This window comes from Homo sapiens, chromosome 10 (assembly GCF_000001405.40).
Source record: "Homo sapiens chromosome 10, GRCh38.p14 Primary Assembly".
NCBI lineage: Eukaryota > Metazoa > Chordata > Mammalia > Primates > Hominidae > Homo > Homo sapiens.
In genome coordinates, this window is record NC_000010.11 from 75,363,821 (window position 1) to 75,389,465 (window position 25,645).

The following is a 25,645-nucleotide window of genomic DNA, read 5'->3' on the forward strand; positions in this document are numbered from 1 at the left end:
GGATTGCAACTTTTGTGACAATTGAGAAGGAAATTGTCCTCTGTTCTGCACAGATCCTTACCAAGAGTTGTGTACCATTTCAGAAACCACCATTCATGCAGCCATACTGTGGCCCTTAAGTCACCAGGATGCTGCTCCATGGCAGGTGGCACTGACTACAGTCCCACTGGGAGGGTTTGTCTTTAGGTGCAAGCATTCCACTTTTTCATTATTCCTGAGCATTTACATATTGAAATACATATTTTATTATAACTGACTTTCCTTTGATTTCTCCTTTATCTTACAGGTGGGTCAATATATTGACTTTTTAAAAAATTCCATGGGTAGGTTGCTTATGTTATCTCTGCTTTCCATTCTGAGATAGTAAATGGGGCATGACAACAAACTTGGTAATAAAAGAAAGCTGTGGGTCTGATGGACTGGGTGCTGAAGCCAGAGAATTCCAGCCTCAACATCTCTAGGAAGCCTCTTCTGACCACTTTTACCCCACACTCCCACCCAAAGCCTGCTTTCCTTCCTCCCTGAAATGAAGTACTTCATTATGCCTACTTTCTATTTTTTTTTCCTTGATCATCTCAGGGACAATCATGTCAACTGTGTCCCAAGAAACATGAAAGCTCTCTAAGGACAGCCTTGAGGTGGTCACTGTTCATGGCCCTGACCAGGCCCTGGAGAAAAGGACACTAGCTTGGTGTGCTAATCTGAAATACACAAGTCTGGCAGCGGTAGGGCCCCTGGGAGCAGAAACCAGAGACAGGCATCCCCAGCAAAGTAATACAAAGTCCAGAAAGCCCCATCACCCAGCTTGAGAGAGCTGGGGCAAAATAGAGGGCCCCAAGACTCTAGAAGAGACGTTTCATAAGTCTCATCAAATTAAAGACTAATTAGAAAAAAAAATTTGTGGGAAATCATTGAAAAACAAGTAAACCATCCAAAGCCTGAGACTGTTTAAAAATAGCTTATTGGAAATCCAAAGACAGGACATGTTGAGGAATGAAAAAAACATCTTGTGTGGTAAGATGGTGACTTTAAAGCGACTTCTGTGGCAAAGAGGCATCCTTTGTAAATGGGCAGATTGGCCAGGCTCAGAGAGCAGGTTTAGGTAAGTTAATGGATGATAGCACCATAAAAGGTTATTAAGGGGAACTTGGCTCCACTTAGGAGCAGCACTTGTGATATCTGGGGGATGACTGCGCATTCCCGAGGCAGAGTCCTTGTGTCCTAACCTGAGACAGACCATGGGCCCAGAACCTGGAAGGAAGGAGGCACTGCTGGGTCTCGGGTTATTTCTAGGGGTCCCCCATATGGATGCAATAGTCCATCTCAGTTTTTCCTTTTTTTTCTTTGAGACGGAGTCTCGCTCTGTCGTCCAGGCTGGAGTGCAGTGGAGTGATCTCAGCTCACTGCAACCTCTGCCTCCCGAGTTCAAGCAATTCTCTGCCTCAGCCTGCTAAGTAGCTGGGATTACAGGTGTGTGCCACCACACCCGGCTAATTTTTGTATTTTTAGTAGAGACGGGGTTTCACTATGTTGGTCAAACTGGTCTCAAACCCCTGACCTTGTGATCCGCCTGCCTTGGCCTCCCAAAGTGCTGGGATTACAGGCGTGAGCCACCGTGCCCGGCCCCACTTCAGTTTTTCAAAGAAAGAAAAAAGAGAAATGATCGGATTCAAGCTGCATTTTTGGAAAGTCAATTTTTAAATGTGTGTGTATTTCAGGTCAGAAGAATCATGAAAGAAAACCCAGTAGGAGTATAGTGGGTTGACTTCATCCCTGGGTTCCAGACACTGCCTGAGTTCATGTCCTAGCCCCACCACTGCATAGCTGGGTGACCTTAAGCAAGTTATTTAACCTATCTGTGCTTCAGCTTTCTCCCCTCTGGAATGGGGTTGGTAATATTACTTTGCTGGCTTATGAAAATGAAATGAGTTAATATGGTATATGAAAATGCTTAGAATAGTGCACGGCCTATGGTGAGTGCTCAGTAACTGTCTGCTTAGGTTGTTGTTACTTTCAAGAAAAGGGCCAAGTTGTATTAGTTCCCACTCCCTTCCTGCTGATTAACCAATGAAGGGTGGCTCTGGGAACATAAGGGAGGAATCAGGGCAGGCATGCGTGCCTCTCGCTTTCCCAGAGGAGCCCCAGTGAGGAGGTCAAGTGCTCTGGTCCTGGTTCTAAATCCACTGTTTAGAGTAGCAAGTACATTTGAAGTGGAGATTACCCCCTTGGCCGCAAAGATTCAGTTAGTAGGTGACAAGGAGTGACTGTGTCACTACATAGTTATCTACATAGGTAATCTGTGCCCCCCAAAAGATTTTGATCAGAGAACATCGTGCTTAGGAGGAATATTCCCTCTAGGCCATGGCAGCAAATAGGTTTGAGCTCTTTTGTATATACCATTGCTTGATAACAGCTGTGGGCTATATCCTATTGGGGATTCTGAATCCACATCTGGATGCCAGGGAAAGGGTGCCAAGATCAAATAATTAGTGATGTCGGCCAGGGATACAGGAGACAAAAGTGTCAGCATTGGCTGGAGAGTAAAAAACACCGTCTGCTCATAATAGCCTGGCTAGAGGTAGCCTGGGTTCCCACGTCCCGAGCAATGGTGTGGCAGGATGGTGATTGCCTGCTACCAAAAGGTAGGCGACCTGACTTTTCAGCTCTCCTCCATCAGGCGTGGGGAACTTGGGTGCTTCACCCCACTTAACCGCTCTGCCTCTGTGTCCCCACATGTAAGTGCCTCAGAGGGACATCCAAGGGGTACTGGGGAAATTGTAGGATGTTTGAACTGTACAAGGTCCTGGAGGCTGTAGCAGACACAGTGCCCCAAGGCCTTTGCCCTTACCATGTCTGTGCTCCGAGCCTGATTCCAGCCACCAGCATCTGCAGTTCTTTGAGAGCTTTCTTCAGCCTTTGGTCTGCCTTTACAAGGCAGGTTGGAAGCAGTCCTCAACCAGTGACCAACAGGATCATTGTGTAAATATCCTAGCTCCTTCGTCCCGCGGGTGAGATAACTCTGAAATGTAGGTTCTACAACGTCTCCCAGAGTTTCCCAATGGGAGAGAGCTCCAGGTACCCGCACTACTAGCTTGCTTAATATATCTCTTACTGGCTCCTCCCCTTTCCTGATTCACTTCCCACTCCTAGGGTCACCTCCCAAATCCTCATCTCAGAATCTGCTTCTGCCAAACTAAGGCAGAGGTTAGCTGGCTGCACCACTTTGTGTTACTGAAGCAAGATAATTGCAAACACACTTGCCCACCAGAAGGGCCTCGTGTGAAGGTCATGATAAGTATCCATCTAGCAGGGCCTACAAACAGCCCAGAAAGAATCAGAACTTTTGCATCATTAGGAAGAATTTCCCTCCCCCAGCTCAGGAAATTGTCTCTCTACCCCCCACCCAGAAAATCTTGTAGCCTGTGATGAGACCTCCCTCTCTGGCTTCTCTCTCACCAGCTGTCTGTTCCTAACAACCCCACCCACGCACGGGAAACTCTCTAACTTGATATTGCAGGATGCTGTCACTTGAAATTAATTGCAACTAATTAAAAATGATCTGGTTAGGACAATTGCACAATGGCGCTCCGGAGACTGCTTCATTCCCAGAGGTTTGGTGGCGTTTGTGGCTGCTGCAGCCCTGGTCTGCCGGACGGGGCCATACATCATCGTGTCATTTTACATTGTTATTTCTCTGAAAGCAGCAATTTAAAAGAGTCTCAGATGAACCTTGAGCAACTTCGTGCTAAAAAGAAAAATGTTACTGTCCAAGATATGTAAAATATAACATATAGGCTCAAAGAAGCCTCTTGACATGAAAAGAGGCCTTGGAAGTTTGTGCAGCGATTTGCATATAATATATAATGTTGTAGTAAAAGGACACACAAAGCAGAAGGTGGCTGTGGAGCATCGATCCTTATCTCCTTTGTTCAAACTGGGTCACCTACTATTCCTGGTTATTATTTTATCACAGCCATTCCTCACATAAGGTGACAGGACAGTATCTAACCTACAGGGTTCGGGGACTGCCACACCTCCCCCTTATTTAGTGGAAGACCCAAGGGTCCTTCCTGGCTCTGATTCTGAAAGCATTTCAAGTCCTGCTTGGCCCTGCCTTTTTCCAAGCTGATCCCAGGAGCAGTAATCCTGTAAGGAAGAGCCACTTATTGGGCTTGGGGAAGGCCCAGTAAACCTCGAGTTAGGGCATTGAACCTCGATAAGCATCTGGAATGTCCCCACACATCACTAGGAGGGAGTTCAGGCACCTCAAATGAATTTTGACCCCATGTCCTTGAGCTACAAATCATTCCTCTTAGGCTACCCACTGCCCTATCTAGCTCTGTGGTCTCCATGGTGCCCTTCAAACCTCTCTGCATCAACAATACAGGGGAGAAGCAGGCATTTGAGCAGAAAGTGGTATGCCCCAAAAGCATTTTCCACAATTATTCTTCTAATGCTCTGCAGCTCATTCTGCAAGTTTAAAAAATAAGCAGATTTTCAAGGGTACCAATAAGAATAACAAATCTCTGCAAAATAGAAAGAGAAGGGTTCAAAAATAAAAAATCAAGATCTTTAACATTAAAGATCCAGGAATAGAAAGGAATAGACAGATAAGATGAAAGGAGAAAGAATAGTAAACAGATATGCAGATAAATCTTATGTAATTACTAAACTTTGGCTCTGGGCTTCCTGGAGGCCAAAGCAAAGAAGGAAAATAAGACATATGATTACTTACAAATGTTATGCAATTTTTAAAGAAAAAGCAGACCACCTTCTTAGCAGAAACAAGGTTCTTTTGCATGACCTCATGTGGATCATGTACCTGGCATCATCCTCCACAAACCCTCATAGTTAAGGCAGGGGTAAGGCTCACAGAGATCCCTGCATTGGAAATGGATGACCTGGCAAAGCCAACTCTCTGGGAAATCCAGGAGATATGCATCAGATAAGTGGTTTACTAATGGATGGTTTCATTCAGGGGTGAGACTTTAATACTGGAAAAGTGCAAGGACTAACTCCAACCTGACCTCCAAATTATTCTCCATACAAAGTGATTCTTTCAGCTCTGCTTTTATTGGAAACTGAACAGCGGATAGTTTAAGGTTATAGTTTCAGTCAAAGACTGGAATGCAGGTATTCCATATGACTGAGAATTGGATTTAAATACATCAATTACAGCACATCTGTATAGTGGGATACTATGCAAACATCAATAGGAACAAGGGAGACTTTACACGCTGTTAGGAAAGGTTGTTTAAGATACATTATTAAGTGGGGGGAAAAAGCAAGTTGCAAAACAGTGGGTATAGTATGATCTCACTTGTATCAAAAATTAATAATAAAACACGGGTATAGAAAATTTCTAGAAGGATACACAAAAATTGGTAAGTGTTTAACTTTGAGCGAGAATTTCATAGCTTATCCAAGCCCTCCTTACTATAATTATGTATTGTTTTTTGATATGGTTTGGCTCTGTGTCCAGACCCAAATCTCATCTTGAATTGTCATAACCCCCATGGGTTAAGGGTATGACAAGGTGGAGATAATTGAATCATAGGGGTGGTTTCCCCCATGCTGTTCTCGTGATACTAAGTGAGTTCTCATGAGATCTGATGGTTTTATAAGGGGCTTCCCCCTTCACTCGGCTCTCACACTTCTCCTTCCTGCCATTATGTGAAGAAGGACATGTTTTCTTCCCCTTCCACCATGATTGTAAGTTTCTTGAGGCCTCCCCAGCCATGTGGAACTGTAAGTCAATTAAATCTCTTTCCTTTACAAATTACCCAGTCTCAGGCAATTCTTTATAGCAGCGTGAGAACAGACAATTACACTTTTAGATTTAAAAAATAGTTTTTGAAAAGCTAATTGAGAAAACAATGCAGTTTTGTTAAAAAGAATGAAGCATATTAGTGTTACTGAAGAAGTAAGATATGAAGGGAGAATCTGGATAGATATGAAGTAGTTATCTTGGTGGCCGGGCTAACACCTGTAATCCCAGCACTTTGGGAGGCCGAGGTGGGCAGATCACTTGAGGCCAGGAGTTCGAGACCAGCCTGGCCAACATGGCGAAACCTCGTCTCTACTAAAAATATAAAAATTAGCCTTGCGTGGTGGTGTGTGCCTGTAGTTCCAGCTACTCGGGAGGCTGAGACAGGAGAATCGCTTGAACCCGGGAGGTGGAGGTTGAGGTGAGCCAGGATTGCACCACTGCACTCTGGCCTGGACGAGACTACATGTCAAAATAAATAAATAAATAAATAAATAAATAAATAAATAAATAAAATGAAGTGGTTATCTTGGGGAGGTTAGAGTACAACAGACTTCCACCTTCTAAGTTAATTTCTGTAACATTTTAATAAGTAGGTATTTACGTTTATAATAATTTTAAAAACACTAAGCTAATACTGTTAAGTTGACTGTCTTTTATGACAATGAAGAAGCCTAACCAAGACTTGTGCAAATGAATGGCCACCCTACCCCTTCAGGGCAGGGGCCAGGAAAGAATCTGCCAGCAAGACAATAATTTTTCTTAAGAAAATAGTGGGCTATCTATTCTGGCACACAAATCAATGAGTGATCTTCACATTAACATTCTGGCCTCACAAACACGGATGCTCATCTGGGAAGGTGCTTGTGGCCGAATCCTGCGGCTGGGGTGCTTTACATTTAAAAATTCCCAGCCGGGCATGGTGGCTCATGCCTGTAATCCCAGCACTTTGGAAGGTCGAGGCAGACGGATCATGAGGTCAGGAGTTTGAGACCAGCCTGACCAACATGGTGAAACCCTGTCTCTACTAAAAATACAAAAATTAGCTAGGCATGGTGGTGCATGCCTGTAATCCTAACTACTCGGGAGGCTGAGGCAGGAGAATCGCTTGAACCTGGGAGGCAGAGGTTGCAGTGAGCCAAGATTGTGCCACTGCACTCCAGCCTGGGCGAAAAAGAGAGGCTCCATCTCAAAAAAAAAAAAAAAAAAAAAAAAAAAAAAAAAAAAAAATTCCCATTGTTTTACAGTGAGATACATTGGAACTATTAACTAATTTTTAACAATTCTGGCTGCTTCCTTCTCTGTCTCTCTCCAGCCTGCAACCCCTTCAAGTGAAGCTGTTTTATGCTGGATGCCTCAAGGAAGAGAGGACAGCAGAAAGAGATGTCCTGGCTTTCGACTTTTAGAAACCTAGCTCAAAGTGAGAAAAGTGAGGGGCAGGAAAAAGGGTCCAGGGAAAGAAGTAAAAATGATGTAAGAGAATATCTCACTGCCAAGACTAGCAAATGGGGACCTGGGAGGTTCAGAGGTTAGGATCTGAGAGGACCAGGACTGGCCTCCGAGGCACTGTGCCTGGAGCGGAGACAGCATCCAGGGAGCTCCAAAATTCCTTGTAGAGAAGCTGAGTCAGCACCCCTGGTCCACAGAGTCTCCATCTAAGGGTTAAGATGTGGATCAAGAAAGGTCTGGAAGGCTGCAGGGCTTCAGGAGGGAATACAGGAGGCCACTCAGCCTGGGACAGAATTGTTCAATGGTTTGAACCCAAACACTGGGAGCACTCAATAGAAATCTGTCATGGTTTGGCAAGAGTGGGTTGGTGTTTCCAGAGCTGACTGGATCCCTCTCTACCTCTTCTCTCTCTCTCTGCACCTGCTTCAGCCTTTCCTGTCACTGCCAAAGATCTTTTCCTGCTCCTCAGTCTATACGGCCTACCATGGCTGCTCTCAGACTCTCATACATCCTTGATTTCACACCCAGAGCCAGACTGACTTCTTTCTCGGGTCTCAGCACCTTATTCCTGAAGCCATTTGTGATTGGCCCAGCTTGGATCAGGTAGGTGCCCATCAGGCATTCATCCCTGGACCAATCTGCTGCACGTGGGGGTGAAGTCCATTGTATTAAGTCCGCAGATACTCCAATCTATGATGGGAGTGATGAGATGGTAGGGGTGGGGTGGTCTCTGAGCAGACCAGGTAATTTCCCTTAGGCTGCTCCTGGGAGACCATGAATATTCCCCCTGGCTTTCAAGGCTTGCCACACCTACCATCTTACCTCTGCCACTGTCTGCTCAACATGCCTGCCTGCCTCATTCAGTCTATCTTTCAATTAAAAAGAGGGTTTTTTGTTATTGTTTTGTTTTTGAGACAGAATCTCACTCTGTTGCCCAGGCTGGAGTGCAGTGGCACAATCTCTGCTCATTGCAACCTCCGCCTTCTGGGTTCAAGCCATTCTCCCTTCCTCAGCCTCACGAGTAGCTGGGATTACAGGTGCCCGCTACCACTGCCCAGCTAATTTTTGTAGTTTTAGTAGAGACAGGGTTTCACCATGTTGGCCAGGCTGGTCTCGAACTCCTGACCTCAGGTGATCAGCCCGCCTTAGCCTCCCAAAGTGCTGGGATTACAGGCGTGAGCCACTGTGCCTGGCCTAAAAAGTTTTTATTGTGTATTTTTCTTAACACAAAAGCAGCACATGTTCACTGTAGAAAGACAGACTCTTATGTGCCCAGAAGCACAAGTCTCTTGGATTCAGAAAATAAAAAATGATGTGGTCCAGAGAGGGAGGTGAACAAGTAACTCAGTGACATTTGTACTGAGCATTGTGATTGGGCTCGTCTACTCCACTAAAGGGCCAGGCACTCCAGAGCAGAGACAGTATCCACCACAGCATCAAAACAGTTCAAAGTAGTGCACAGGTTTTCTGTAAGCACCTGCCTGACTCAATGAACGACTGTACCCCTAGGCTCAGCCTGGCCAGGGTGGCCAGAGTGGCTGGGAAATCTACTCAACCAGGGACAGGATTGTTTAATGGTTTGAACCCAAACACTGGGAGCACTCAATACAAATCTATTGTGGTTTGATAAGAGTAGGTCGGTGTTTTCAGAGTTGACTGCAAGATCAGGCTAATGTACTGTGGGCAACGACCCCCAATCCAAGCCCGAGTTTCCTGGATTGTGTTCAGGTTTGGGAGAGTTCAGGGGGTATTTTCCCAACTGGAGCCCTCTTTGGGTCCCCATGGCACCCTGAACCCATTTCCATTACAGCCCCCTTAGACTCTTGGGGCACTTTCTCATTCACACCTTGGTTTGCCTCTGGCAGAGACCCAGAGAAGGCAAAGACCTTTTCTTGTACATCCCTGTATCCTTGAGAGCTTCCTTCCAGAGAGATGCAGTGCCTCCCTTCCAGAGGAAGGAAAGAAGGAAGGGAGGCTGGGGGAAGGAAGGGAAGGAGCCAATCTGCTTTTGTACACTGGGAAAAACGAACCTCTTCTTAAGGCGCACAAGCTCCGCCCCTCTTCAGGGTCGTGCACGTATTCGCCATCTTCCGCGACTGTCACCTGTGGACGGCTAACAGCTCAGCCCTTCACTGGGCATTGCGCTTGGCTGCAGGGAACTGCTTTGCCCAAAGTTATGGCTCTATCTGTGTGGCCTGTGGCCAGTGACTGGCAGATGGAGGCACAAAGGCCAGCCCTTTGTCTCAATTAAGGACAACTCTGGAGCATCCTGCAAGACTGGATGAGGTGTCTGTTGCAACCACATTTGGGGTCATTTTCTCTCCGCCCAATCCTGTCTTCTCAGTTTCCTTACAGATATATCTCCTGAGAGCACTCCCCAATAAACCTGCGTGTACCTCCTTGTCTCAGTGTATCTTTCCAACCGAAGACACTCACCTCGCAGACTCTGGGAACCCGCAGGATATCTGGAGCCTCCATTAAAGGCTGTGGTCACTCACCCACCTGGGACTCCCTTTCCTAGAGACCAAGGAAACTCTGCGCACCGTTCTCAACACCAGACCGTGTGAGGCTGAGGGAGAGGCACTGGAATGACAGAATCTGGAAGCCCTGGGTTCTGCCACTGGTGAGCTGGGTGACTTACGCAAGTCCATTAACTCCTCTGACCCACAGGGTTCTCAAATGCAAAACAAGGAGAGGAATTTCCTATCTCATAGGGTTAATTCAGAATTCATAAGTGAATGGGCTTTGCACAGTGCGGGACACAAAGTAGAAATACACAAGTGTGAAAGTTTGGCTTTCAGAGTTTCCTGCCCATCTCCAGCTCCTTACCTCCCTCTATCCCCACCCTCTTTCCACACATCATTCCAGGACAGGTGTGGCCAGCAGCAGAAGGGCCAACTGACCCCCACCAGGGGACCTGTGGCTTTGGCTCTCCACAGTGACTTGGCATACTCTAAAATGCAAGTCACTTAAGGTCTATTAAAAGGTAAGTCATGGGCAGGCACGGTGGCTCACGTCTGTGACCCCAGCACTTCGGGAGACCGAGGCAGGTGGATTACTTGAGGCCAGGAGTTTGATGCCAGCCTGGCCAAGATGGTGAAACCCAGTCTACTAAAAATACAACAATTAGCAGGCCATGGTGGTGCACAACTGTGGATGCAACTACGAGGTGGGAGAATCGCTTGAACCTGGGAGATGGAGGTTGCAGTGAGCCAAGATCACGCCACTGCCCTCTACCCTGGGCCACAGAGCGAGACTCCATCTCCAACAACAACAAAAAAACAAACAAACAAAAAACAAAGTAAGTCACGTCCACTGTTCCCACGGCTTCCTGTCTTTCTGACCCTTTTCTGCAACTAAACCTCTTATTTTCTCCAGCCACATCAGCCTCTAGCTGTGCATCACTCATACCAGATGGACTCCCACCTGGGGTCTTCGCACTTGCCACCCTCTTGTCCTAGAACAGCTTTCCACCCAGCTCACACTCTCCTCTCCTTCAAATTCTTACCCGAAGGTCAGAGAGGCCTTTCCTGACACCCCTGCCCCATTAAAAATAGCAGAACTCCCCAGCCCTGCCTATCCCAACTCTCCACTTCAGCACTCCTCACCATCCAACATGCCGTGTGGTTTCTTTATTCACTGCTTGTCTTTCTCCATTGGAAGAGAGGACAGTCTACTGTCTCCCAGTACCTACAACAGCATCTGGCGTGAAATACATGCACAATATGTTTTGTTAAGTGAATGAATGAGCCTGTTTGTATGCTTCACAGGCAGGTGAAACTGAACAAAGCAAATCCACTAGTGAAACCAGGGAAAATTGATACCAGCCCTTGGAAAAGGAGGGATAAAAGTCCCCAAGCTTGGCTAGAATCTAAAGTTTGTGCCAGGCCAAGGCAGTACCTAGGATCTCTCCTGCCACCCCAACCAGGAGCTTCTTGAGGGCAGGAGCCATTGCCCCACTATCTCTCTATTAGCTGCTCGGTGGCCAGATTGGTCCCTGGCAAGTGGAAAAAAGGCTGTGATCCAATGAGTTTGGGAAGGATTAAGTGAAGTTAAACAAGTTTCCCAACTCCAGGATTTTTCAGAGCACCCCTCTTTTTTTAAAATGGAGTCTTGCTGTGTTGCCCAGGCTGGAGTGCAGTGGTGCAATCTCAGCTCACTGCAACCCCTGCCTCCCGAGTTCAAGCGATTCTCCTGCCTCAGCCTCCTGAGTAGCTGGGACTACAGGCACATGCCACCACACCTGGCTAATTTTTTTGTATTTTTAGTAGAGAAGGGGTTTCACCGTGTTAGCCAGGATGGTCTTGATCTCCTGACCTCGTGATCTGCCTGTCTCAGCCTCCCAAAGTGCTGGGATTTACAGGCATGAGCTACCGTACCCAGCCCAGAGGCTTTCATATGTAAATATAAGTTATAAGTCCAAATGGGGGCTTATGTTTTGAAAAGTTTTCCAAACTATCTGACCATGGAATCCATCTTTCTTTTTCCTTTTCTTTTTGAGACAGAGTCTTGCTCTGTCCCCTAGGCTGGAGTGCAGTGGCACAGTCTCAGCTCACTGCAACCTCCACCTCCTGGGTTCAAGAGATTCTCATGTCTCAGCCTCTGTAGTAGCTGAGATTACAGGCCCATGCCACCACACCCGGCTAATTTTTGTATTTTCAGTAGAGACTGGGTTTTGCCATTTTGGCCAGGCTGGTCTTGAACTCCTGGCCTCAAGTGATCTGCCCACCTCAGCCTTCCAAACTGCTGGGATTACATACATGAGCCACTGAGCCCGCGGAACCCATTTTTCAAGGTGAGTAAAGGATCCACAGAGTATGCTTTGGGAAACAGTGGCATAACCTCACTATCTGAAATGCAAGGGATTCTGGAGGAAATCTAGTGCTCTACATCCTCTTCACAGAGGAGGAAGTGAGAAGTGAGAGAGGGAACCCCAGAGTGGGAACCGGAGGTACTGCACGTCACAAGGCAGATCAGAAGTGAGGCTAGGGCTAGAATCAGCCATCTCTAGCCTCCAGAATACATGCTGCTTTCAGTCCTGACTCTGGGGTTCTGGACCTTGGATTATCAGGCCTGCTTTGCTCACTTGCTCTTAAGAAGTGCCAGGAACTTAAAAGAGGAAAGGCCTCAGAGATGTGGAAGTCCCACTGCTGACATCACTAGGTGTTCTGGCCTCTGCTTCCTGCCATGACCCAACTCTGGGCTTGTAATCTGTGCCTGGGAGCCCAATGTTTCCCACCTACACCTCCTTCCTTGCCCCACCACCCCTCTCTGGCTTAGGTGTCATATTAGTCCATTCTCATGCTGCTATGAAGAAATACCTGAGACTGGGCATGGTGGTTCATGCCTGTAATCCTAGCACTTTGGGATGCTGAGGTAGGCGGATCACTTGAGGTCAGGAGTTCGAGACCAGCCTGGCCAACATGGCGAAACCCTGTCTCTACGAAAAATACAAAAATTAGCCAGGTGTGGTGGCACGCACCTGTATTTCCAGCTAGTTAGGAGGCTGAGGCATGAGAATTGCTTGAACCTGGGAGGTGGAGGATGCAGTGAGCCGAGATGATGCTACTGTACTCCAGCCTGGGTGACAGAGGGAGACTGTCTCAAAAAAAAACAAAAACAAAAACAAAAAAACCTGAGACTGGTTTAATACCTGAGAGAGGTTTAATTGACTCACAATTCTGCGTGGCTGGGGAGGCCTCAGGAATCTTACAATCATGACGGAAGACATCTCTTCACAGGGTGGCAGAAGAGAGAATGCATGCCTTCACTCAGGCGAAGGGGGAAGCTCCTTATAAAACCATCAGATCTTCAGTGAGAACTCACTCACTGTCACGAGAACAGCATGGGGGAACCGCCCCATGATTCAATTATCTCCACCTGGTCCTGCCCTTGACATGTGGGGATTATTACAATTCAAAGTGAGATTTGGGTGGGGATACAGAGCCAAACTATATCAGGTGTTCTCAAAGTGTGGTTCTGGGACCAGCAACATCAGCATCACCTGGGTGCTTGCTAGAAATGCAAACCCTCTAGATTCACCCCAGACCTACTGAATAAGAGACTCTGGGGGTGGGCCCAGCAATCTGTGTCTTCACAAGCCCTCAGGACGTTGTGACTCAGGCTAAAGTTTGGGAACCACTGCCCTCAACCACACTAACTCAGACTACGCAGCTCCAGAGAAGGGCCTTTCCTGGGCCTTTCAGGCGCCCAGTGACAAGGTAACCTCCAGGGCTCTTAGGAAGGATCATGGAAAGCCCAGGGCACAAAATCTCCAGAGTTTCTTATAGAGCTCAGTGGGTTCCAACCACTTGAACTTGTCACCACCTAAACCCTGGAGTTAATTTACTCTCTGCTTCATTTCATTCGTTGGTCTAATCCATAGCTGCAATTTTATAAAACACAGACCTGGGCTGGGGAGTTTTTCAGGGTCCCATTCTGAAATAAATCATGGCAGTTGGTGGGCTATATGACACATGCATGGGGTGTCTGGAAGCATCTGAGTTCTACCTCAGTCCATGTAAGCCGAGGTGGGGTCTTTTTAGTGCATCAAGAGAGGTGCCTCTATTGAGTTCAATAGGTCCTTTTGGGGAATCCATCTGCTTCCCTCATTTCTATCCAGGTTGAAGTGGGCATGTGGGACTTTTGTAAAGAAACTGTAATCCCAGGGTTGCTGCATGGAGTAATTGCAGGGAATACCATTGTGCAATGCGAGGTCTGCATGGCCACACATGATGGTCCCAGAACACTGTGTTAGTCCATTCTTGCATTGCTATAAAGAAATGCCTAAGAGTGGGTAATGTATAAAGAAAAGGAGTTTTATTGGCTCACAGTTTTACAGGCTGCACAGGAAGCATAGCAGCTTCTGTTTCTGGGGAGGCCTCAGGAAACTTTCGATCATGGTGGAAGTTGAAGGGTAAGCAGGTACATCTTACATGGCCAGAACAGGAGGAAGAGAGAGAGGAGGGAGGTTCCACACACTTTTAAACAACTGTCTCATGAGATAGTGAGATCTCATGAGAATTCACTATCTCGAGGACAGCACCAGGCAGGGGAGGCCGGGGAGGATGGTGTTAAGCCATGAGAAACCACCCTCATGATCCTATCACCTCCCACCAGGCCCCACCTCCAGCACTGGGGATTACATTTCAACATGAGATTTGGGTGAGGACACAGATCCAAACCATATCAGACCCCTACCCTCCTTGCTGTCACTCAGAAAAAGGACAACCCCTTCTTTTCCAACCCCCATCCCCAACTGGCTTCACAGATGGGCAGGAAGCTCCTCAAATGTGCCCATCAGAAGGATGGCTGGGCGAAGGTAGGCCACTATCTGCTCCCCACCAAGCACCACAGCCCTGGTGGTCTCCAGATTGCATCTCTGGTCACTGCCTCAGCTCCCATGGCTTATGCTTCCTGGGGGAGGGTGTAGATAATCTGGGTACCCACCCACTCCGCACTTATCCATGACCCACTCTCTCCTCCCTCCCTCCCTCAGCCCAGGCAGCAGTGCCTCTGCTGTGGCAGCCCTCCATCCATCCTCATCATTCAGAGGCCTCTGAAAGTATGCCTGTCAATATAATGCATGGCCTGTTGAGGGGAAGTGACATTTTGAATAGTGGACACTTTCTGGGAGCATTCATCCTAGGTCAGCCTCGTGATAAATAAATACATTTGGAGTTTGAAGTCAGCAGGCAGGATACAGGGACCAGAACACAAGCACAGATGCACACACCATAAGGCTGAGTTGATGGGGTGGACATAGGATGTGACAGAAAGGGAAAGAGGGAAGGCCCCACAAGCAGATTTTGGGGGCAATTTATTCTCTTTCTTCCTGGCACCTCTAGGGAAAACAGGAAGCAAAAGAAGCTGCAATTTCCTTTATTCCTGAACCACAAGAAGGTCCCTGTTTCCTACCACCCTGTCTGTTCCTCACCTGTGCCTCTCCACACCCCCCAAACCCCAGTCCCGATCTTAATTACCCCTAACAGTGCCCTAAACAAAGTATTTATAAGGCTTACTGTGTTTGTCCTCCCGTTCCTATTAATAAAGTCTGGGAATGTAGGAAAGAAATATGGGCGGGTGACAGGGTATTTAATGGTGCCTCACCTTAAATGCATTTTAAAATATGTAAATCAATAAAAAAATTATTTGTAATAGCAGCCTAAGAGTGCTGGTTAGCCTGGCGCGGAGTGAAATGCATGCTACGAGCCCTATTACCATACATCCTGGGAGCTGTAGTTAGGATTAATCTGTCAAAGGGGATGGTTTAGTGTTGATGAATATGACATGTGACCATTAACGATGTTGATTTTATCTCCCGAGATTAGCATGATTTACTTCGGATGGATAATAATGTCATTTGCTTGATGCAGTAGATCTGTTTACGAGCTGATTAAATTGTAAGGCCTTGCCTCATTTCATGCTATTTGGTTTACAGCTTCATTACCACAATCACAAAAGCTGGGGAAATGTCCCACATTCCATGTCACAATAAATCACTGCTTCACGTTGCTGGGATGGATTTTAGCAGTTCTGCCCAGCACGGACTGTTCTTGGCTCCCCACTAATCTGTGATCCAGAATACATTAGGCGGATCTTCAGGAACACTGGAATGAGAGGGGGAAGGAATCCTCTTGGATCTTTTAATTGAGTGAGATTAAGGAAGTCCTTGAGTAATTAGCTGTAACAAATTACCTTATTATTTAGACAGTGAAGTCACTGTTTTTGTTGCAGGTATGATTATCATAAATATGCAGAAAAGTGACACTCGAGGAACCAGAGGGAAGCGTGGACGCAAATTTCATTTTTGTCCTGTGATTCTTTGTTGCAGGAGAGAGGCCATCCAAATGCAAGGTGGGCAGGGGGTCCTCATCACGTGCTTCTTCCAGGCGGGGTGGGAGGGGGTGCACGCCACACACCCACAGCATGGCCTGCTCAGCACCTCTGGGTGGGAAGTGGCTGAAGTGGAAGGAATAGAGTGTCTGGTAACATGGGTTAGAATAGAAGTGTGTGAACCAGACCTGCTCACTCTATGCCAAACCTGTGCCCAGACTGACCTGGCAGTAGAGACTCTCCCTTCAGTGCATGAGGGAGAGGGAAGAACAACAGAGATGGAAAAGGCAGGGCTACTTACCCCTTGGAAGACTGCGGAGGCAGATTTAACACAGGCCTGAAATGACTGTCTTCATTTCCGGAATACCTAAGAGGTTTAGAGCGCTTACCACCTTCCAGGTCCCGTTCTCCCCAGTTACATAACCCTGGGAAGTTGGGACCATTATTCTCATCCTATGTTACAGATGAGGAAACTGAGGCTCAGGGAGCAACATGCCCAAGGTCACAGAGCCAGCCAGCTACAGAGCTGGAGTTTGAACCCAGACAATGGGGCCCTGGAGCTCAGCACGGTACCTATAGGCCACTGAAGCAGGCTCTAATGACTCAGGGTGAGGAGGGCACATTTTCAGGATTTTTGCTTCTGACTCCAGAATTAAAGCCCATAACCCCGAATGGGCCCTGTCTGGGAAGGATTTAAGATCAGCAATAATGAGAAGCACTGAGGCCAGGTCTTGAGTGGAAACTTTAGTAAGGTTTTGCACTGAGCAAAATCAAAGAGGATATGAAACTGCTTCCTCGAGATTCCGCCTTTGGAAATAGAATGCAATCATGTCAAAGAGCAAAGGTGGCTTCTCTGCATCTCAGCTCAGAATGTCCCTAAAATACCAAGAGACAAAGGGGAAAAAATGTGGCCCCTGAAAATTCTGCAGAAGAGGTAATATTGTTTCAAAGTTCCATGCAATTTTATGTCTGAACTTCAGACTTGGCCCTCAAGTGCCTGCACCCACTAAAAAGAACCCATCATGATCCCCTTATGGCAGTGGCCATACAGACCTCGAATTGCATCATGGCATTCGCGGGAATTATTCAGTGCAGCTGAAATTATAGTTTCTTTATGAAAATCCCACACGCTCACTCCAACCTGGAAAGAAATCCAGGCCCTCCAATCTCCATTCCTTCTTTTTCCTGTAATGAAACCCTGATTTGTAATTGATTTTAACAAAATAAAGACTACATTATCTAGCCTCTCTTGTAGCTAGATGGGTCTTGTGACCGAATTCTGGCCAATAAGATGTAAGAGGAACTGTTGTGGCAACTTCTGGGATGTGCGTGTGTAATTTTTGTTTGTTTGTTTTGTTTTGTTTTGTTTTGAGACAGGGTCTTGCTCTGTTGTCTAGGCTGAAGTGCAGTGGTGCCATCACAGGTCACTGCAGCCTCAACCTCCCAGGATTAAGCAATCCTCGTACTCAACTTCCCCAGTAGCTGGGACTACAGGCACACGCCACCATGCCTGGCTAATTTTTTTTGGTAATTTTTGTAGAGATGAGATCTCACTATGTTGCCCAGGCTGGTGTCAAGCTCCTAGCTTTGAATCCCCCACCTCAAACTTCCAAAGTTCTGGGATTACAGGCATGAGCCACTGTGTGTGGCCTGGGATGTGTTCTTAAAGGGAAGGGGTACACTTTTCTCTTCTTATTCCTGTTGGCTGAGAGGGAGATGTGATAGCTGGCACTCATGCAACCAGTATGGACCATGTGAAGAGGATAGTGGAGCAACAAAATAGAACTTTGAGTCTCTGATAACTTCATGAATTTGCCATGCCAATCCTGGGCTGCCTCCAGATTTCAATTGTGTGTATATGTGTGTGTGCAGTGGGGGGACAAATGGATAAAGAGTTATTTTCATTTTCTGTCACTTGCCACAGAACCTAATTCTTTTTTTTTTTTTTTTTTTTTTTTTTTTTTGAGACGGTCTCACTTGGTGGCTCAGGCTGGGCACAATCTCTGCTCACTGCAACCTCTGCTTCCTGGGTTCAAGTGATTCTCCCATCTAAGCCTCCCGAGTAGCTGAGACTACAGGCATAAGCCACCGTGCTCAACTAATTTTTGTATTTGTTTTGGTAGAGACAGGGTTTTACCATGTTGGCCAGGCTAGTCTTGAACTCTTGACCTCAAGTGATCCACTTGCCTTGGCCTCCCAAAGTGCTGAGATTATAGGCCTGAGCCACCACACCCAGCCTACAGAACCTAATTCTAATAAACAAACCCATAATTCAGTTCAGCCATGAGCCAAAATGGTGGTAGTCAAATACTCCCTTAAAGTATGAGGGAGTCATACTTTTTTTTCATGTTTCAGTGGTATGTTTAATTAAACAAATGCTCATGACAGATTTTCACAACAGCAACAAATGTTATTTCACAACATCAAATCTTCCTTACTAAGGAAAAAATGGGAACAACAACAAGGCTGATGGATTTGGATTATTTTTCATGTTTCCTGGAGGTAAAAGCAGTGTCCTCAACTTGTATTCCTCTGTTTCCTCATGTCGGAGACTATCTGTTTCCATTCTCTTTACCTCCTCTCTGGCTGTGTGTCCCCAGAAGGCAGCCTGGATTTTGACAGCAGCAACCTCTTCTTTTTCCTTATCTTCCTCAGAAGAGTCTAAGATGGTGACTGGTGTCTCTTTCTCCTTCCCAGATATTGGAGAGTTTTCTTGTTTAGGATCACATTTCTCAGGTGGTTCTTGCTCCTCGAATGCATGACTGTTCTAGAAGCAGTCTTCTACCTGAGTCCCCCATTCTGCTGGATCAAAAGTGGTTTTCTCTCTTTTCTCTGGAAAGCTGTCAAAATATGCTGCTGCAAAAGCTGTATATTATCTGGTTGCTCTCTCAGAATCTCGTGGGTCAGCTCTTTAAGAAGACTCCCAAATCCTTGCAGAATTCAGTAGTGGGTATTGGAGAATGGAATCGACATCCTCTTGGTAAGAACTGCCTATGGAGCCTCCTCTTTCTCTGGGAGCTGGTGCCGCTGGTCCAGCTTACTTCCTCCTCTGACCTCATGTTCTAGGGATGCATGATCTCTCTCTTCCGGGGCAATTCAGGACCAGCACTGTCCAGCCTGCATCCTTCTTACTGATATCTGCCTTTCTTCCCCTAGGCTTCCTAACACACTGCTCTGGATTCTCTGGTTGAAGGTTCAGCTGTGGCTGCAGCTCTTGACTTGCTCTTGATGTCAGGACACTGGGTTGGAAGCCCGAGGGGCCCATGGTCCTCATTGTGTAACCTGGGAGAAGGTTGGGCTTTTACACATGAGTCCTCATGATTTTTCTCAAACGGATTCTTCCCCATCCCAGCACACACCTTGCAGCCTCTTGACAGAGCACCCATCCATCTAGGGCTGGGGAAAAACCAGAATTTTCTGAGCAGAAAACTCTATTCTAGGGTGCTCCTCAGCCCCCATTCCTCCTGATGTCTACCACAGGTCCAATCCTCTTCCTCTAAGGCTCCAGCTCCTCTTGCCTGAGTTTCCCCCCACTTCTGCTTTCTTTTCTAGGATTTTCAGACCTCCAGGGTCCTGGGAGACCAGGGCAGAGGTCATCCCACCAGAACATGTCTTGGTGACTGCAATCTCTGCCCCTCAGACCCCAGCATTTCCTGAGCTCTGTGGGCCGCCCAGTCATACCCTCACCCAGGCAATCTTGGAGTCACTTTGTGACTCAGCCGCTCAGTCTCCTGGTCACTTAGTCACTCAATCAGCTCTTCGGTAGTTAAATCAACTAACCAGTCACATGCTTCTGCCCTTGGCCAGGTGCTCAGATACTTCTTACTCCGCCATTTCATTTGCTATCTGTTCATTGATCAGCCATTCACTGAACCTGAATGAGCCAGCCCTGTGCTAAGTTAGTGGGGATAAACAGACACCAGGTACAAACCCTGTCCTGAACCAGGGCAGCTGCCAGTCTGTGTCCATCAGTCATTGGTCTGGCAGTCTGTTGGCTATTTAATTGATCTATTGGTCAATCAGCATGCCAGCTATTTGATCAATGGCCAGACCCTTGCCCTGGCAGACACTTGTCCTTGTGCTGAACTCTCAGGGTGTGTAGTCATCAGTCCATTCTTCAAAGGTGATTAGGAGACCTCAGAGGCTCCAGGAGGAGGTGCTCTGGAGCTGTGATGGAAGTTTAGGACGAGTCTGGCTCCTGTGGGAACTGGAAGGCCTGTGGGGCTTGCTCCCAAGTCAGGCCTCAGCTCAGGTGCTGGGAGGTGTGGGGCAGGGGATGCGGTCTGCTCTGTGTGGTGGGCGCTCCTGTCTGAGAACACTGAGGGCCCTGGATTCCAGCCCCCCTCTCTCCCTCCCTCCTGGTGATGGTGCAGACACACACACACATGCGCATACACACACTGATAATCTCACACATGCACACACAGACTCACACCACACACATAAACTCATGAACTCAGATATATGATCACATACAAATTCACAAACACACACACACTCGTACACACTTTCCCATATGGACTCACACAGGCACCAGCACACACTCATAAACACATAGAGTGTCACTTGGGCTTGTCCAAAAGTAAGTTTGTCCCTCATCACAGGCAGGCCCCCACAGATAGCCCCATGCCACACTCAGAGATAGGTCAAGTAGCAGTCTTACATCAAGGCAAGTGCCACATGGACACAACTCCCTTGCCACATCCTCACTCCTAGCCCCTAGCTGGGTAGCTACCCAGCCAGGCCCCTAGCAGGGACACAGCCCTGTAGCCCTGCGGCCCAGCACCCAAATGATGCTCTGGCCATGGAGCCCTGTGCACCTCCCCAAAGCCCCCACCTGGTTGGGGTCATGCTCAGAGTTTGAGGAACCCTGACTCCCCACACTGGGGCCACATTCCCTCTTGAGCCAGTTTTCCTCTGAGGTCTCTTGTCCCCACAGGAGGTGATGCCTCTGGCTACCTCCCTGTCCCCAGCCCCCTGGGACTACCCATTGGTCTTGAGTCTTCCTCGCTGACCTTCATCCCTCTGCCTCTCCAAGTCTGATGTTGTTCCTCACAAAGGTGCTCAAAGGGAACTCGGACACCTTTCTGTCCTTGGTGCTGAGACCCCATGCTATCCTCCCAGTTCTCTGCTACCAGACCACCCTTCTCGAGATGGAGATAGATGAGGGATGGGGAGCTGGGAATGTCCTTTTAAGGGGGTTCTCTATGGGGCCACGCCAAGGACAGAGCCTAGGGGAGGGACAAAGAGGTGGCCATCTTAGGGACCCGGAGGCCAGCAAGGCAGTGAGCTGAGAAACAGAAACATGGATAGAGGGACTTGCTATGGCTGGAGAAAGGCCAATCAGGAGACACACAGGAAGGTCACCGAGGTCACCCCTCTTCTGTGTGGCTGGGAGCATTCTCTTGGGATGGGCAAAGTGATACTGGCCTGTCTCAGTTATCTACTGCTACAAGAAAAAGAGTCTCAAATCAAGGGGCTTAAAAACAAGCCCAACTTTTATTTTATTCACAAATTGGCAATTTCGGTGAGGCTTAGTGGGGAGGGCTCATCTTGCTCCACTCCATTTTGGTCAGCTGGGGCGGCCCAAAGCCTGGGCCAGGAGTTGTCTGAACCTCATTCACTCATGTGGCTGGCACTTGACACTGCTGTTGGCTGGGGCTTCAGCTGGGGCTGTTGGCCAGAACACTCCCACATGGCCTGTCCTGTGGCTGCATGGCTTCCTCACAGCATGGTGACTGGGTCCCAGGGGTGTGCATTTCCAGAGGAAGCTGTTTCACTGGTTACAATTTAGCCTTGGAAGTCCCATGGCATCACTTCCACTCCAACCACAGTCGAGGAAGGAGTGTCAGCTCCATAGTGTGAGAAGAGTATATGGGATGGGATATATTGGTGGCACCAATGATTGGAAAATACAACTGGCAGAATGACTGTTCTTCATAAACCTTCCTCATAAGTTTCAGCCTCCACCCTTACTCTAGCTTTCTTCTTCTGTTTTTTTTCTCCTTGGGTACACATCACTCACACCCCAGGTTTCAGCTTTCTCTTCTCTGTATACAATTCAAAAATTTACAGCTCCAGCCCTGACGCAATGCAGGCATCAGAAACTCAAGCCATACAAAAGTCTATCTCCCTGCCAAAGCCTGCTCTCCCTCTAGAATTTCTTCCAGGTACCCAGGCTTGGGTTCTACTTCATCCATTCCCCCATTTCCCCTGGCACATGGAACAACGAGAGACTAGAGATGAAGCCAGAAACTACATTTCACAGCCTCTCTTGCAGCTGGGTGTAGCCACGTGACTATGAGCAACTTCTTTCTCACCTGTTTGAAAGGACACTGTGCGCTTCTTCCTCCCTCTACCCTTCTGTGGCTGGAATATGCCCAGATTTGATCACAAGAATGAGCACAATATCCTAGGGGACAAAGGAGCTCCAAGATGGAAAGAATCTGGGCCCCTGAATGACATCATGAAGCAGAGTAGCCACAGAGACCATTACCTGAGAGAGAAATGTCTTTCTGATTTAGGTCCCTGTATTTGTTTTACCATTGCATAGCCCAATACCTGAGTCTAAAGGCCTCAGGATTTTCTTCGCCTTCCTGCTGTCCATTCCAGCTCAGCCATTCACCAGGTAGAGTCCATTCATTCTACCTTCTCACTGCTTCCTGGAACTGTCCTTGCTTTGCTTGTCCTGCAGCTTCTCCCTTGTTTCCAGCTCTCACTTTCTCCCTCTTAACTACAAGACCTCCACATTGGTTTCTTTATATCCAGTCTCTCATTGTTCCATCCCATAATGTTCTTCCTCTGGTCAAAGACCTCCAATGGCTCCCTATTGCTTATTGAAGAACAAGACATGATCTTTCCTGCTTCCATCCCTTTGATCCTGCTGGTCCTTCCTCCTGGATCCCCACATCTGCCATTTTCTAGCCATCAAATGCCTATTCATCATCCAAGCCCAGATCAAGTGCTGCCTCCTCCCCAATGACTTTCACATGTTTCTACTGGAGTTCATCCTGGGCCTCCACTGATTATATCCCTCATCACAGCCCGCCTTAAGGCAACAGTTGTCTCCATGACCCACTAGACTGGACAGTAAGTTATTTGAGGGCAGAGACCCTGTCCTAGTCATCTTCCCATTGCCTCCACGCCTAAGATAATGCTGTGCATGCAGCAGGTGCTCAGTATGTGCTTGCCAGTGAACACTCACTTTCCATAGCTGGAGGCTCACAACTCTGTCTGGGCACTGTTCTTGGCACAGGTGATCAGGGTTGTCTTCCCTCTGGCCTTGAGGGCTTCCCCGGAGAATCCCGGAATAACTGAAGGGTGCTGTCCTCCTCACACTTCCCTGGGGCCTGGGGAAGGAGCAGCTGTGAACATTCTGTTTGCTCTGAGTGCAGAATCTGTGAGTGGAAGTGCACAGGTTTTATTGGCTAGGGCTTTAGAATGAGACAGACCCAGCTTTGAATTTCAGCCCCACCACTTTTTAGCTGTGGGACTTCAGGCATACTGTTTAACCTCTCTGAGTCTCAGTTTTCTCTTTTGTAACATGAGGTTACTGTAGCTACTTATCTCCTACAGGTCTTGTGAGGATATAAAAAGATAATGTAGAGAAAGCACTACATACAGTATTTGGCACAAATAAAGTGCTCACTAAATGGTATCGATAATCATAATCCAATTTCCTTCCTGATATTCTATCTGGTAAGAGTGGATCAGGGCAGGTTTCACACTAGGCCTGGTCCACTGGAATCCTTGTTGTCAGATGGAGGTTTCTCTGTGGACATGGGTCAGAGGATGTGCCTTGTCACAAATGAGTTGAGTTAGGGCTGGGTTTTGCTGGGTGCTCCCAGAAGGTGGAGGAGAGGGAGCAGGGCTGGTGTCCAATGGGGTGAGGGTGAGGGGCTGGCTGTTTGCTAAGCCCAAAGTGGCTGGGTTAAACCATATCTGGCTGGCAGGAGCCTATAGCCAATGGTACAATGTCAGGGGTAAGATGTGGCAGACTTCAGGGGCTTCCAGGCAGCCGAGGGCTCTCTGCATCAGATGGGCTGCCAGAATCATCCCACAGTGCTCAGTTTCCTCTGGTGTAAAGGATCTGGATCTATGTGGGAGGAGGGGTCCAGGACCCCACATGAGCAGGCTTGGTTTCCAGCAGAGGAGAGGTACTGAGGGCAGTTGGAAGTGGCCCACATACAGTGGGGTCAGAGAGGAAGATTACACTCACCCTAAATACCCTACATGCTAATCCTGGGGACAGCAGACCATGTCCAAGTCCTCCTCACTGGCAGGGGGCGGCCACTGATTCGGGGCCTAGACAGCTGGATCTGCAGTTTGCAGCCATTTGGACTAGAACAGGTGGGGCCAGTGGTGAGCTGGTAAATGGTGAACAAACAGCTCTTTGGTTGCGGGGGAATCTTTCATTTGTAGTACTTGCCCATTGCTGTGGTATAAATACTCCCACCATGGCTGATTTCAAGCCACTAACATAACATCACTGAGTGAGGAGTTGGGAAGAGATGTGCACATATGGCTGTTGGGAGCCAGTAGGAGCTGATTCCAGCACACCACTGGGTGAGGTCTCACACCTGCATTTGGGGAGAAAGGCAGGTATCTGTGGCTTCAGTGTACGGAGAAATAAAGGTCACTATGCAGTGTAGCAAAGAGTGAAAGGCACAAGAATAATAGACCCTGGAGCCTCATACACTATAACAAATCCCAGCTCTGCTACTTCTTGGTTGTGTGGTTTTGGGCAAGTCACTTTGCCGCTTTGTGCCTCAGTTTCCCCATCCATAAAGTGGGGCTAATGATAGTGCCTCCTTCATAGAGTTCCAGTGAGGTTGCACAAGTGTACACTGGGCTGTAGTGGGTTGACAGAAATGTTACTTATTGCAGTTGATCACACAGAGTAGTTGGAATGTCTCATTGGTCAGAATAATTTATAAAGGAAAACCCAGAGCCCCTCAGGGCATGTCCAAAGGCCCTGCTTTTTTATCTTTAAAATCTTGGATTTCCTTCAAGGTCAAGGATTTAAAATCTGCAGGCCCATGAACTACATGAAATTAAGTTTCCCACATTAAGCATGTGGACTCATTTCTGTAAAGAGGGGCCACAGCTTTCATTAATTGTCAAAAAAAGGTTGAGGTTTCTGCATCCTTCCCTCAACCCACAAAAGGCTTAAGAACTGCTGATGTGGAGCGTGTAGAATTCCCACACCCTAGGAATTGCCTAATTGCCCCAGAAGGGTTTTGGAGGAGAGGAGATGTTTGTAAAGTGTATGAAAGAAAAATGGCAGAGATGGAGAGACACACAGAGAGTCAGCCGAGAATTCTGAGATGTCTCTTCCTTGTTGAGACCTAAGGCTGGAGGAATCTTCCAGCAACGGGACAACCAAAAGGCTCACATTCATACTCAGTGCCCCTCCTGGTTCCTGCATTCTCCTTACTCCCTCTAGTTTCCCAGGGGTCTCCTCTTCTCTTCTCCAAGTCCCCCTCTCCTCCCAGTGCCCTCTTGGACCCAGTATAGGTGTCCGCTGGGCCACCTCTTTGTAGGTGCCTAGAGGTAGGGTTAAAAGTCGCTCACATGGGCCAGGCGCAGTGGCTC

The 25,645-nt window shown here is 47.7% G+C and overlaps 1 protein-coding gene and 1 pseudogene across 1 annotated transcript in view, besides 1 other annotated feature; both read right to left on the reverse strand.

Moving 5' to 3' along the window:
• ZNF503 (zinc finger protein 503) overlaps window positions 1–25,645 on the reverse strand; it is a 122,192-nt gene that overhangs the window by 84,096 nt on the left and 12,451 nt on the right. The window lies entirely within an intron of this gene.
• SPA17P1 (sperm autoantigenic protein 17 pseudogene 1) lies at window positions 18,397–19,090 on the reverse strand (annotated as a pseudogene).
• Window positions 18,664–19,863: an enhancer, noted in NCBI's record as "BRD4-independent group 4 enhancer chr10:77142242-77143441 (GRCh37/hg19 assembly coordinates)". NCBI's record gives its function as "activates an origin of replication core promoter dependent on BRD2, P300/CBP, MED14 and CDK7 cofactors, and independent of BRD4, by STARR-seq in HCT116 cells {active_cell/tissue: HCT116}" and the evidence as "EXISTENCE:reporter gene assay evidence [ECO:0000049][PMID:35650434]".